This window comes from Homo sapiens, chromosome 17, assembly GCF_000001405.40.
Source record: "Homo sapiens chromosome 17, GRCh38.p14 Primary Assembly".
Lineage (NCBI taxonomy): Eukaryota > Metazoa > Chordata > Mammalia > Primates > Hominidae > Homo > Homo sapiens.
In genome coordinates this window covers 17263477-17277065 of record NC_000017.11, presented here as the reverse complement: position 1 = coordinate 17277065, position 13589 = coordinate 17263477, and the positions used below count along the sequence as shown (strand labels likewise).

Genomic DNA, 13589 nt, shown 5'->3' with positions numbered 1-13589 from the left:
GAGCTTGCTGTGATCGAAGAGTAGGTGTGTGAGGGGAAGTAGCAGGAGATAAGGCTGGAAAGGTAGCAGGGACCAGTTATTGAAGGGCCTTAGTTCAGGCTGAGGCGTTTGCACTTCTTAAAGTCATTGGAATAACTTGATTGAATGCACAGTTTATAGAACAGACAGTACTAATATGGAGTGCGGGTTGGAGGAGAGAAAGATCACAGTAGGCAGACCATTTAGAAGATTTATGATGTAGGCTGGGCGCGGTGGATCATGAGGTCAGGAGTTCAAGACCAGCCTGGCCAAGAAGGTGAAACCCCCGTCTCTACTAAAAATACAAAAAAATTAGCCAGGTGCAGTGGCAGGCGCCTGTAATCCCAGCTATTTGGGAGGCTGAGGCAGGAGAATTGCTTGAACTTGGAGGGCGGAGGTTGTAGTGAACCGAGATTGCGCCACTGCACTCCAGCCTGGGCGACACAGTGAAACTCCATCTTAAAAAAAAAAAAAAGATGTAGTCCAGACAAAAAATGATGAGGATCTGAATTAGGGCAGAGAGGGGAGAGAGAAAGAAATGGAGCTGAGAGACTTTGGAAGTAAAACTAAATCATTTGGATGCAGAGAGCTGTTAATAGTAACGTGCATTTCTGGCTTGGGAGACTAGAAAACAGAATAGAGAAAAAGGTGAAACATTCAGGGTCAGAGAGAAGTGGGAGGTCCAGTGTAATCTCTAATTCGTTTTGAGACCACGGACAGGTTGTTTCACTCCTCTGGTCCTTCTGGATCCTCATCCGAAGTGAAGGAGATTAAGAATCAATTTTGGGAACTTCAGGCTCTGAAGTACAAAGTTGTGGTTAGAGTTCCATCAGTTTGGTTAGTGCTGTAGCTGAAATGCAATAGTGTTGTTCCTGTTTTCCAGGGCAAATGACACAGCTTTGTGAACTGATCAACAAGAGTGGGGAACTCCTTGCGAAGAACTTATCCCATCTGGACACTGTGCTCGGGGCTCTGGATGTACAAGAACACTCCTTGGGCGTCCTTGCTGTTTTGTAAGGAGCATCTTCTTTTATAGTTCTGTGCTTGTTAAAATGGAACACTGTGCACTTCCTGGCTTTATTTTTATTTATTTATTTATATTTTTTGAGATGGAGTTTCGCTCTGTCACCCAGGCTGGAGTGCAGTGGCACATTCTTGGCACACTGCAAGCTCCGCCTCCCGGGTTCACTCCATTCTCTTGCCTCAGCCTCTTGAGTAGCTGGGACTACAGGCACTCGCCACCCGCCCCAGCTAATTTTTGTATTTTTAGTAGAGACAGGGTTTCACCATGTTAGCCAGGATGATCTCGATCTCCTGACCTCTTGGTCCGCCCACCTTGGCCTCCCAAAATGCTGGGATTACAGGCGTGAGCCACCACGCCCAGCCCTGGCTTTATTTTTATTTATTTATTTATTTTTTGGTGTAGAAAGTAAACCATTGTAAATAACATTGAGCTCTTTTGCAAAACTAAAGTTATGGCAGTTACAGTTTATTGATTCCAGCTAATAATTGCTTGTTATATTTTGTTCAACTTTATCATTTTTAAAAACTCTTTTATGTATCCGGGCATAAAGAGGTTGCAGTGAGCCAAGGTCGCGCCACTGTACTCTAGCCTGGGTGACAGAGCGAGACTGTCTCAAAAAAATAAAATCAGTTGTTGCAGCTGGGCACAGTGGCTCCCGCCTCTAATCCCAACATTTTGGGAGGCAGAGGCAGGTGGATCACTTGGGGCCAGGAGCTCCAGACCTGCCTGGCCAACTGGTGAAACCCTGTCTCTACTAATAAAAAAACTAGCCGGGTGTGTTGGCGCATGCCTGTAGTCCCAGCTACTCAGGTGGCTGAGGCATGAGAATTGCTTGAGCCTGGAAGGCAGAGGTTGCAGTGAGCCAAGATTGCACCACTGCACTCCAGCCTGGGCGACAGAGGGAGACTCTCTCAAAAAAAAAAAAAAAATCAGTTGTTGCTTTTCCTGCTTTGAGAACATACTAAGGGGGCCAAGAGTGAGAGCTATGGGCTGGCTGGAGGTGGGCAGCAGCTTAAGTTAAAGATGCTGCCACCAGCTGTGTGGTCTATCTGAGAATAACACTGACAGAACAACTGATAGGCAGGACAAGAGGAGTAGAGTGGTGAGAAGAGGGAGGACTCAGGTGATCCTTCCCAAGTAACTCAGACTGCCATGAGAAACACTCCAAGGAGGCACTGGTGATAGGTTTTAGGGGAGAAATCATGTAAACTTAGCACTATTAAGGCATTGGTTGTAAGTAAATTTCAAATTCTTTAAAAAAAAAAAAAAGCACGATTGAAATGTAATTTCAAGAAAAATTAGGCCAGACACAGTGGCTTACATCTGTAATCCCGGCACTTTGGGAGGCCAAGGCGGGTGGATCACAAGTTCAGGAGTTCAAGACCAGCCTGGCCAACATAGTGAGACCCTGTCTCTACTAAAAATACAAAAATTAGCCGGGTGTGGTGGCATGCACCTGTAGTCCCAGCTACTCGGGAGGCTGAGGCAGGAGAATGGCTTGAACCTGGGAGGCGGAGGTTGCAGTGAGCTGAGACAACGCCACTGCACTCCAGTCTGGGTGACAGAGTGTGAGACTCTGTCTCAAAAAAAAAAAAAAGAAAAGCTAATCATAATTTCTACTACATCTTTTGGTTTATCTGCTTCCATCTATACTGTATTATTTGACTTAACAATGTCACCATACATCTGTATTTACACTTTGTAATTATCAAGACATGTCAGAAACAATTTCATCTGGGGTTCACAATAGGTCAGTGAGGCATTGCGACTGCCAGTTTATAAATAAAAATATGAAGCTCAGGGCCCCACAACTCAAAATTGGAAGAATATGTAGATTCAAAACCAGGGTCCTCAGCCAGAAGCTCAGGGTTCTTTCCATACCTTATCTAACATATACAACGGTAAACACCTTATACCTTCAAAATGCATTCATGTCCATTACTCACCTGATATATATGTTTATGTGAGTTTATGTGTGTATAAAACATGCATGCTCTCTGTTCTTTCTTGAGATAGGGTCTTGATGTCACTCAGGCTGAAGTGCAGTGGTGCAAGCATAGCTCACTGTAGCCTCGACCTCCCAGGCTCAAGCAGTCCTCCCACTTTAGCCTCCTGGGTAGCTGGGACCACAGGCATGTGCCACCACACTCAGCTAACTTTTTTTCTTTTGGGGGGACAAGGTCTTGTTCTGTCACCCAGTCAGGAGTGCAGTGGCATGAGCACAGCTCACTGCAGCTTCAATCTCATGGACTCAAGTGATCTTCCAACCTCAGCCTCCTGAGTAGCCAGGACCACAGGTGTACACCACCACGCCCGCCTAATTTTTGTGTTTTTTTGTAAAGACAGGGTTTCATCACGTTTCCCAGGCTGGTCTTGAACTCCTGAGCTCAAGCAATCTGCCCATCTCAGCCTCCCAAAGTCCTGGGATTACAGGCATAAGCCACCATACCTGGCCACTTTTTTTTTCTGTAGAGATGGGGTCTTGCTATGTTTCCCAGGCTGGTCTCAAACAGAGCCTCCCAAAGTGCTAGGATTACAGGTGTGAGCCACTGTGCCCAGCATCTGCTCTTTCATATAAATAAGAAAATACAGACAGTAGAAATCCTTACCAGCACTGTCCAATAGAACTATCTGCAGTGGTGGAAATGTTACAAACCTGTGCTAAGACAAGGACATGTGACCACATGTGGCTACTGAGTACTTGAAACATGGCAAGTGCACCTGAATCTTTAATTTTAATTTAAATAGCTGCATATGGCTAGTGGCCACCATACTGCAGAGCATAACTCTAGATCCTTCCATTCTGACAAAGCTTCTTCTCTAAACTCTGCTCCGGACACATACCTTTGTCTCAGGAATCCCAGCGTAAGTGAAGCCAGACTCTCACTTTAAGTCAATTTCTTCTCAGTTTATTTATATCATTTCAAATGTCATGACAACCACAATATCCCAATTTATAATACTATAACATCAAGAGAAAAAGAATTCTACTGTCAAGTACACGGTTACAAGGAACCCCAATTAAAATAAGGTCTATTTAATTTGGTCTTAAATAGCTTAAATTTGTTTGAAGGGAATTCTAAGCAATGTTGCTTTGGATCTTTGATACTTTTTCTTTTTTTGAGAAAAGGTCTCACTTTGTCATGTAGGCTGGAGTGCAATGGCTTAATTGTAGCTTACTGAAGCCTTGAACTTCTGGGCTCAAGCAATCCTCCCACCTCAGCATCTTGAGAAGCTAGGACTATAGGCATGTACCACTACACCCAGCTAATATTTTTATTCTTTGCAGAGATAGGGCCATATTATGTTGCCTAGGCTGGTCTCAAACTCCTGGCCTCAAATGATCCTCCGACCTTGGCCTCCCAAAGTGTTGGGATTATGAGCAACTGTGCCCAGCCAATATTTTCATTCAATGTATTCTGCCATGCCCTGTGGCAGTACTCCTCCGAACTTCTTTTTAATTTAGAAAATGTGGACATTCCTGTGGATTACATGGATAAAAGTATTCAGATAAATGCAAACTATAGTCCCCACAATTGAGATGGCCATTTTTTAAAACAAATTTTCAGGATTTGTATAAACATAAAGGAGTTTTTTTTTTTGAGACGAGTCTCACTCCGTCACCCGGGCTGGAGTGCAGTGGCACGATCTCAGCTCACTGCAAACTCTGCCTCCTGGGTTCAAGCAATTCTCCTGTCTCAGCCTCCCAAATAGGTGGGATTACAGGCACCTGCCACCACGCCCGGCTAATTTTTCTATTTTTTGTAGAGATGGGGTTTCACCCGATTGGTCAGGCTGGTCTTGAAATCCTGACCTCAGGTGATCCACCCGCCTTGGCCTCCCAAAGTGCTGGGATTATAGGCGTGAGCCACCGTGCCTGGCCAATTTTTGTATTTTTAGCAGACATGGGTTTTCACCATATTGGCTAGGCTGGTCTCGAACTCCTGACCTTGTGATCTGCCCATCTGCCCACCTTGGCCTTCCGTAGTGCTGGGATTACAGGCTTGAGCCACCATGCCCAGCCTATTTGGCTTCATTTAGTGGAATTTTTCATCTTGAAAGTTGTTCCTTATTAAACATATATATATATATAAAACATATATGTTTAATATATACATGTTTATTATTTAATATATATTATTAAACATATGTGTGTGTATGTGTGTATATATATATATATATAGATATATATAGATTTTTTTTTTGAGACAGTCTCGCTCTTGTTGCCCAGGCTGGAGTGCAGTGGCACCATCTCAGCTCACTGCAACCTCCACCTCCCGGGTTCAAGCAGTTCCTCAGCCTCCCGAGTAGCTGGGGTTACAGGCATGCATGCACCACCACGCCCGGCTAATTTTTTTGTATTTTTAGTAGAGACGAGGTTTTTCCATGTTGATCAGGCTGGTCTCGAACTCCCGACCTTAGGTGATCCTCCCGCCTTGGCCTCCCAAGGTGCTGGGATTACAGGCATGAGCCACTGCGCCAGGCCTAAACATATTTTTCTTAACCCTTATTTGTGTCCGTTCTGTATAGTGATTGTGCAAAATAACCAGGTCAGGAAAATCTCATGGATTCTAGTTCTTATTTATTTGTTTTTTGAGACTGGATCTTGCTCTGTCACCCAGGCTGGAGTGCAGTGGCATGATCATAGCTCACTGCAGCCTCAACCTTCTAGGCACAAGTGATCCTCCAGCCTCAGCCTCCCAAGTATCTGCAACTACAGGCATGTACCCCCACGCCTGGCTAATTTATTTTTTGTAGTAGAGACAGGGTCTCACCATGTTGCTCAGACTGGTCTCAAACTCCTGGCCTTAAGCAGTCCTCCTGCCTCAGCCTCCCAAAGTGCTTGGATTACGGGCATGAGCCACTGTCCTGGCCTAGTTCTTAATTCTAAAAAATACTGTTGCTCATTTAATTTTACAGAGTATTGGAGGCAGGATGGATTTCTTGCATACATTGTTTCTGTATTTTATCCCATGAACTATCAGGGTAATTTGATTCTTTTCTCCTTATTCTAGGTTTGTGAAGTTTTCTATGCCCAGTGTTCCTGACTTCGAAACGCTATTCTCACAGGTTCAGCTCTTCATCAGCACTTGTAATGGGGAGCACATTCGATATGCAACAGACACTTGTAAGCTAAATAACATTTTATTCTCCATTGAAAATATTTTGCCCTTGTGGTTATATTTATATTTTGAATATTTTGTTATTGTATCTAGTTGCTGGGCTTTGCCATCAGCTAACAAATGCACTTGTGGAAAGAAAACAGGTAAGAAATACTATTCAAGTATTCCTAGTTTTGTTATAATATGTAACTAGCTTACACAATGAATTACTTTATCAAGATTCCAGTTAGTACTGAGCATCCACCACCTAGATATCTGTGGTCACTTGAGAGCACTCACAGCCATTGCTGTAAGCTCAGGCAGTCCCCGCATCCCCTGAATGAGGTGGAGGCACGGGGTGGTTTGGCACCTCAGGGAGGCTGCTGCTGGAACTACCAAGTAGTTGGAATTACCAAGCCAGTACCCTTTATGTTGTAATATGCTGGGTTTTGTCTGTTACATTTTTTCTTTTAACTTTTAATTAGGACATTATTTTAGCCTTACAAAAAGCTTCAAAAATAATATAAAAAATTCTCATACATTTTACCTAGATTTTCCAAATGTTAACATTTTACCGCACTTATTCTTTTTTTTTTCTCTTCCTCTTTTATTCTGAGCCATTGTAGAGTAAGTTGCACATATGCTATTGCTGTTCTTTATCCCTAAATACTTCAGTGGGTAAAGCCTAAAAATTAGGACATTCTGTTACATAGTATAGTGTAATGGTCAGCATCCAGAAATGAACTCTTACTGTTTTTTTTTTTGGAGACAGAGTCTCGCTCTGATGCCTAGGCTGGAGTGCAGTGGCGCCATCTCTGGTCACTGCAACCTCCACCTCCCAGGTTCAAGCAATTCTTCTGCCTCAGCCTCCTGAGTAGCTGGGGACTACAGGTGCATGCTGCCACGCCCAGCTAATTTTTTGTATTTTAGTAGAGACGGGGTTTCACCATGTTGCCAGGCTGGTCTCGAACTCCTGAGCTCAGGCAATCCTCCCGCCTTGGCCTCCCAAAGTGCCAGGATTACAGGCGTGAGCCACCACGCCCGGCCCAGAAATGAACGTTAATATAATGCATCAACAAATTGACAGACCCCATTTAGATTTTCCCCCAGTGAAAAGGACTGTCTTTTGCTATAAAAGGACATTAGCTGTTTGGACAGTGTACTATATATTATATAGCAAAAGAAAACCGTGGACCATGGATTGCATTAGACTGCTTTGTTTCTTTAGTGTCCCTTAATCTGAACAGTTATTTCATTCTTTATCTTTTATAATACATAATTTATAATGTGGATTTTTAAAAAATTTATTTAGTTATTTATTTTTTTGAAATGGAGTCTCATTCTGTTGCCTAGGCTGGAGTGCAGTGGTGTGATCTCAGCTCACTGCAACCTCCACCTTCCAGCTTCAGGCGATTCTCGTGCCTCAGCCTCCTGAGTAGCTGGGACTACAGGCGCATGTCACCTTTCCCAGCTGATTTTTGTTTTGTTTTGTTTTTTGAGACAGAGTCTCGCTCTGTCACCCAGGCTGGAGTGCAATGGCGCAATCTCGGCTCACTGCAACTTCCGCCTCCTGGGTTCAAGCAGTTCTTCTGCCTCAGCCTCCCAAGTAGCTGGGATTACAGGTGCCTGACACCATGCCCGGCTAATTTTTGTATTTTTAGTAGAGACAGGGTTTCACCATGTTTGCCAGGCTGGTGTCAAACTCCTGACCACAGGCGATCCGCCTGCCTCGGCCTCCCAGTGATTTTTGTATTTTTAATAGAGGTGAGGTTTTGCCATGTTGGCCAGGCTAGCCTCTAGAACTCCTGACCTCTGGTGATCCGCCTGCTTCAGCCTCCCAAAGGGCTGAGATTACAGGTGTGAGCCACTTCACCCAGCCAGGTGTTTCTTTTTAATTTGAAAGTAAATTTAAGATTAGTGGTTTGAAAGAGGCTGAAAATAGAACCAGTTGTTATTTTGTAGTACTAAGTAACCATGTTTGAAAGAGATGGTTAAGAAAAATCATGAGTTTTTGAAAAAGCTGTAAGTTATTGAGCTATTTTTAGTCTCTTCACATATATATATATATATTTTTGTTGTTGTTGTTGTTGTTGTTGTTTTTTTGAGATGGGGTCTTGCTCTGTTGCCCAGGCTGGAGTGCAGTGGCGCGATCTCAGCTCACTGCAACCTCCGCCTCCCGGGTTCAAGCGATTCTCCTGCCTCAGCCTCCTGAGTAGCTGGGACCACAGGCACATCCCACCATGCCCGGCTAATTTTTGTATTTTTAGTAGACATGGGGTTTTGCCATGTTGGCCAGGATAATCTTGATCTCCTGACCTCATGATCCACCCATCTTGGCCTCCCAAAATGCTGGGATTACAGGTGTGAGCCACCGTGCCCAGCAATTTTGGAAGAGACTATATTTTAGTCTGCCAAAAACTGATTATGCCTTACTTGACACTTGGTCTTCTTATTTATAATCAGGGCAGGAAACAGTCCTTTTGAAATCTATGGTGTTAGTTTTGGTAGTAATTTACTACCAGGTAAGGGGTAGACTGCCCTATGGGAAAATGCCAACACCCTTAGCCACAAGTAATTTTCCTAAGCATAGGCTGTTGTCTCTTGTATAATAAGTGATTTGGAAAGTTTTCATTTGTTTAGATGTTAATATAATAAACTGTTGAGAAAGTAATACTGTTTTTGATTATTGATCTTCATTGTAAAAATAAAAGCTTTTTATGATTTAAAAAATGGTGCTGAGTTATCTAAAAATTCCAAGAAACAGCTTAAGAAAAGTTTTCTGACTTAAATGGGACAGAAATTTCCTGAAAGAGTATGGAAACCTCATATTGCTATTTAAAGGAACCTATCAATTAGTGTTATTTTTTATTTATAAGTGACAACATAAGATCCAATGTGCTGCCATCTTTGAGAACTTATCTGAAAGAGATGTCATTTCTGACAGCCCCTGCGAGGAATTGGCATCCTTAAGCAAGCCATAGACAAGATGCAGATGAATACAAACCAGCTGACCTCAATACATGCTGATCTCTGCCAGGTAAGCAACCAAAGTGTGTGATTCACACCAAGTCAGAGGTGTAGGTTGTTTATGGGCTTGCTCAACATTGGGTTTGATAAACACAGGCAAGTTGGCGATATTGTGATGTGTTATAGAAGTTGGAATATGTAGGTACATCTATTACATTCAGGCGGGTGCTGGATGCAAACTGTAGGATGGGGCTCAACTAGTAAGCTTGTCGAACAGATAGGGTAATTAATAGTTGTAACTTTTTTTTTTTTTTTTTTTGAGACAGTCTCACTTTGTCGCCCATGCTGGAGTGCAGTGGCACAATCTCAGCTCACTGCAACCTCTGCCTCCCGGGTTCAAGCAATTCTCCTGCCTCAGCCTCTCGCGTAGCTGAGACTACAAGCACCCACCACCAAGCCTAGCTAATTTTTGTATTTTTAGTAGAACAGGGTTTCACCATGTTGGCCAGGCTGGCGTTGAACTCCTGACCTCATGATCCACCCGCCTCAGCCTCCCAAAGTGCTAGGATTACAGGTGTGAGCCACCACACCCGGCCCTAGTTGTAACTTTTTTTTTTTTTTTTTTTTGAGACGGAGTCTTGCTCTGTCGCCCAGGCTGGCGCCATCTCAGCTCACTGCAAGCTCCGCCTCCCGGGTTCACGCCATTCTCCCGCCTCAGCCTCCCGAGTAGCTGGGACTACAGGCGCCCGCTATCACGCCTGGCTAATTTTTTTGTATTTTTAGTAGACACGGGGTTTTACTGTGTTAGCCAGAATGGTCTCAATCTCCTGACGTCGTGATCCGCTCGCCTCAGCCTCCCAAAGTGCTGGGATTACAGGCGTGAGCCACTGTGCCCGGCCTGTAACTTTTTTTAAAATCCCGAATCATTTTTTTAAAATTGTGGAGCCTGCCAGGTGCAGTGGTTCACGCCTGTAATCCCAACACTTTGGGAGGCTGAGGCGGGCGGATCACCTGAGGTCCGGAGTTCCAGACCAGCCTGACCAACATGGAGAAATCCCATCTCTACTAAAAAAAAATTGTGGAACCTGAGACTTAACATAGCTAACTTCTTACACCTTAAAATGTTATTCATTTATCTTTTTTTTTTTTATTTTTTGAGATGGAGTCTTGCTCTGTTGCCCAGGCTGGAGTGCAGTGGCATGATCTAGGCTCACTGCAAGCTCCGCCTCCCAGGTTCAAGCAATTCTCCTTCCTCAGCCTCCTGAGTAGCTGGGATTGTGGACGTGCACCACTACACCCGGCTAATTTTTGTATTTTTAGTAGAGATGGGGTTTCACCATTTTGGTCAGGCTGGTCTTGAACTCCTGACTTCAAGCGATCCGCCCACCTCAGCCTCCCAAAGTGCTGGGATTACAGGTGTGAACCACCGTGCCTGGCCTCATTTATTTATCTTATTTTGCGATGTTCAAAGTCCAGAAGGCAAAAGGGCAGGTATATAATGAAGTCTCCTTCCCATTCTGTTTGCTAGCCATCTATTTCTTCTCTACAAAGGAAACTATGTTAGTTATTTCTCGTGTATCCTTCCAAAAACTTTTTATGGACATAAAAGCAAATACGAATATATATTTTCTCATTTTTTACACAAATTGTAATAATCTATGCATACTCTTATGTAGCTTGCTTTTTGTATTTAACATATCTTGGAGATGATTCTGTAGCAGTACTCTACAGGTACGGAGTATTCTATAATATGAGTATGCGATGGTTTTAGAAGTCTGCATGGGATATTTACATTGTTTCCTTCAAGAATAACATGGTATGTGGATTATTTCAAACACATGTTCTAGTTTCATATGAAGATGTGCTTTTTAATGTTTTAAAAAAATTGTGATTGAGGTACAACATATAGACAGTAAAATACTAAAGTGTATAGCTCAGTGAGTTTGTACGCATGTCTACACTGCGTCTCCATTAGCTAGATAACTGTTCTAAGGGCTTGCTTTCTTGAGTTGCACAATTCCCTGTATTTACCTAAAGGATTAATTAAAGGAACCACTTCTACTTGTATCACACCATGCTGGTCTCTTTCTATTCCACTAGTTCAGTAAAGAAAGAGGACACACTCTTTTTCCCTCTAATCAGATGGGTAGGGATAGGTTAAGAGATAAGTGAGTCTTGTCTGTAGAGTTCTCTATTCTCAATCATCTATAGCATGCTTGGCCTTATAGCTGTTTAGCTTTTTATAAAGAAATGCTCCCCCAGGTGAGGTGGCTCACGCCTGTAATCCTAGCACATTCGGAGGCCAAGGTGGACGGATCACTTGAGGTCAGGAGTTCGAGACCAGCCTGGCTAATGTGGTGAAACCCTGTCTCTACTAAAAATACAAAAATTAGCTGGGTGTGGTGGTGCACGCCTGTAATCCCAGCTACTCGGGAGGCTAATGCAGGAGAATCACTTGAACCCGGGAGGTGGAGGTTGCAGTGAGCTGAGATGACGCCACTGCACTCCAGCCTGTGTGACAGAGTGAGACTCCATTTCAAAAAAAAAAAAAAAGGTAATGCTGTTTTTTTCTGAATGGCTAAGAAAATGGAGTACAGGTTGACTATTCCTAATCTGAAAATTTGAAACCCAATCCAAAAATTTGAAACCCAAAATGCTCCAAAATCTGAAATCTTTAGAATGCCAACTTGGCACTCAAAGTGCTCATTGGAGCAATTGGATTTCAGGTTTTCAGATTAGGGATGCTTAACTGGTATGTATTCTGCAAATATTCCAAAATTTGAAACACTTGTGGTCCTAAGCATTTCAGATAGCAGATACATGAAATGTGTTGACATTTAGATAATTTTAGTCAATAAAATGTAAAACACAATTACATTATTTGGAAATTTCTGGAATCAATGAATTTTCTCCTTCTGCTAATACCTGCCTAAGTAAAATTAAAGTGATGATTTAATATCAATTTGTTCACAGCTTTGTTTGCTAGCAAAATGCTTTAAGCCTGCCCTTCCATATCTTGACGTGGATATGATGGATATCTGTAAAGAGAATGGAGCCTATGATGCAAAACACTTTTTATGTTACTATTATTATGGAGGGATGATCTATACTGGGCTGAAGAACTTTGAAAGAGCTCTCTACTTTTATGAACAGGTAATCTCTCTAAAAATTAGCTGAGGTTGTTCTGAACTTGTGTGATCAAAAAAGTGCTCCCATAGGTTTGTGGCTAGAGTGGTCTGATCCCAGGGCCTCCGTTTCAGGTGTTGGTCCTTTCAGAGACTACTTCTCTGTGATCATGTAAATAGTGGTAACCTGATCCCTAAGTTGAGGAGCAGCGCCAGTGCATAGAAGAGCACTTGTCTGGGGGTTCTAATCTAGGCTTGCACTTATACCTTATCTGATTTGGAATAAGTTATGACATCTCTTGACCTTTATAGCTTCCTTTGCATATAAGGAAGAGATTGAACTGAGTGATCTTGGTTGTGTCTTATTCTAAAACCATGTGTGGTATTTTGTTAAGTTTTATTTAATCAGTGAAACATTCTCTTGATTCAAAATTTAAAGGGTAGAAAGGAGTACACAGTAAAAGTCCCTCCCACCCTTTCTGTGTCTGTGTAATGAAACATAGTACACAATTTGGTAGAATATTCTGGAGGTTTACTCAGACTCTGAAAAAGAGATACACAATATTGATTAATAAACCACTTTACTTAAGGTAAATTAGTTAGATGTTCGTAAGTTCCTATTTAGTTCATAGCATGTATTAAGTAATAAAGGATATTTAAAACCTTCAGAGAGCTCGGTTTAGTTGGAATTCTAATACATAATACACATGCATACATGTACACACATCCGTGGCTCTGAACCATACCACAATGAGTGGTTGATGTGTCCTGTTGAGGGGACCTGAGGAGGGCCACCATAAGGTGCCAGTAGGCAGAGATGGTGTCATTAAAGCACGTGTCTAGTCAGGTTAAATCTTCAAGGTGGCTTCTCTTTAAGACTACGCATTCGGAAAATTATAAAAATGCACTTCGTAGCCACTGGATGCATTATCATTGCTGTAGCCAAATATAGTTAACTCATGAGCAAACTTGATCTTGAAATATCAGGATGAGTGGGTGTTAAAAAGGTAAGAGGCGTCCGAGTGCGGTGGCTCACGCCTGTAATCCCAGCACTTTGGGAGGCCGAGGCCGGCGGATCACCTGAGGTCGGGAGTTCGAGACCAGCCTGACCAACGTGGAGAAACCCCATCTCTACTAAAAATACAAAATTTAGCTGGGCATGGTGGTGCATGCCTGTAATCCTAGCTACTCAGGAGGCTGAAGCAGGAGAATTGCTTGAACCCAAGAGGCGGAGGTTGCAGTGAGCCGAGATCGTGCCATTGCACTCCAGCTTGGGCAACAAGAGCAAAACTCCATCTCAAAAAAAAAAAAAAAAAAAAGAAAAGGCAAGAGGCTGGGTGAGGTGGCTCACAC

At 42.9% G+C, this 13589-nt stretch overlaps 1 protein-coding gene across 8 annotated transcripts in view; it reads left to right on the top strand.

Moving 5' to 3' along the window:
- COPS3 (COP9 signalosome subunit 3) overlaps window positions 1–13589 on the top strand; it is a 34631-nt gene that overhangs the window by 4181 nt on the left and 16861 nt on the right. For 3 of the 8 annotated variants that reach the window (NM_001316355.2, NM_003653.4, NM_001199125.1), the window contains exons 2-6: window positions 902–1031; window positions 6058–6170; window positions 6259–6308; window positions 9089–9181; window positions 12085–12264. In NM_001316355.2, the coding sequence (NP_001303284.1) occupies window positions 902–1031; window positions 6058–6170; window positions 6259–6308; window positions 9089–9181; window positions 12085–12264 (566 nt within the window). Of the gene's footprint in view, window positions 1–882; window positions 1032–6057; window positions 6171–6258; window positions 6309–9020; window positions 9182–12084; window positions 12265–13589 lie in introns of all 8 variants that reach the window. The other 5 variants (XM_047436961.1, NM_001316356.2, NM_001316354.2 and 2 more) reach the window with 4 other exon arrangements.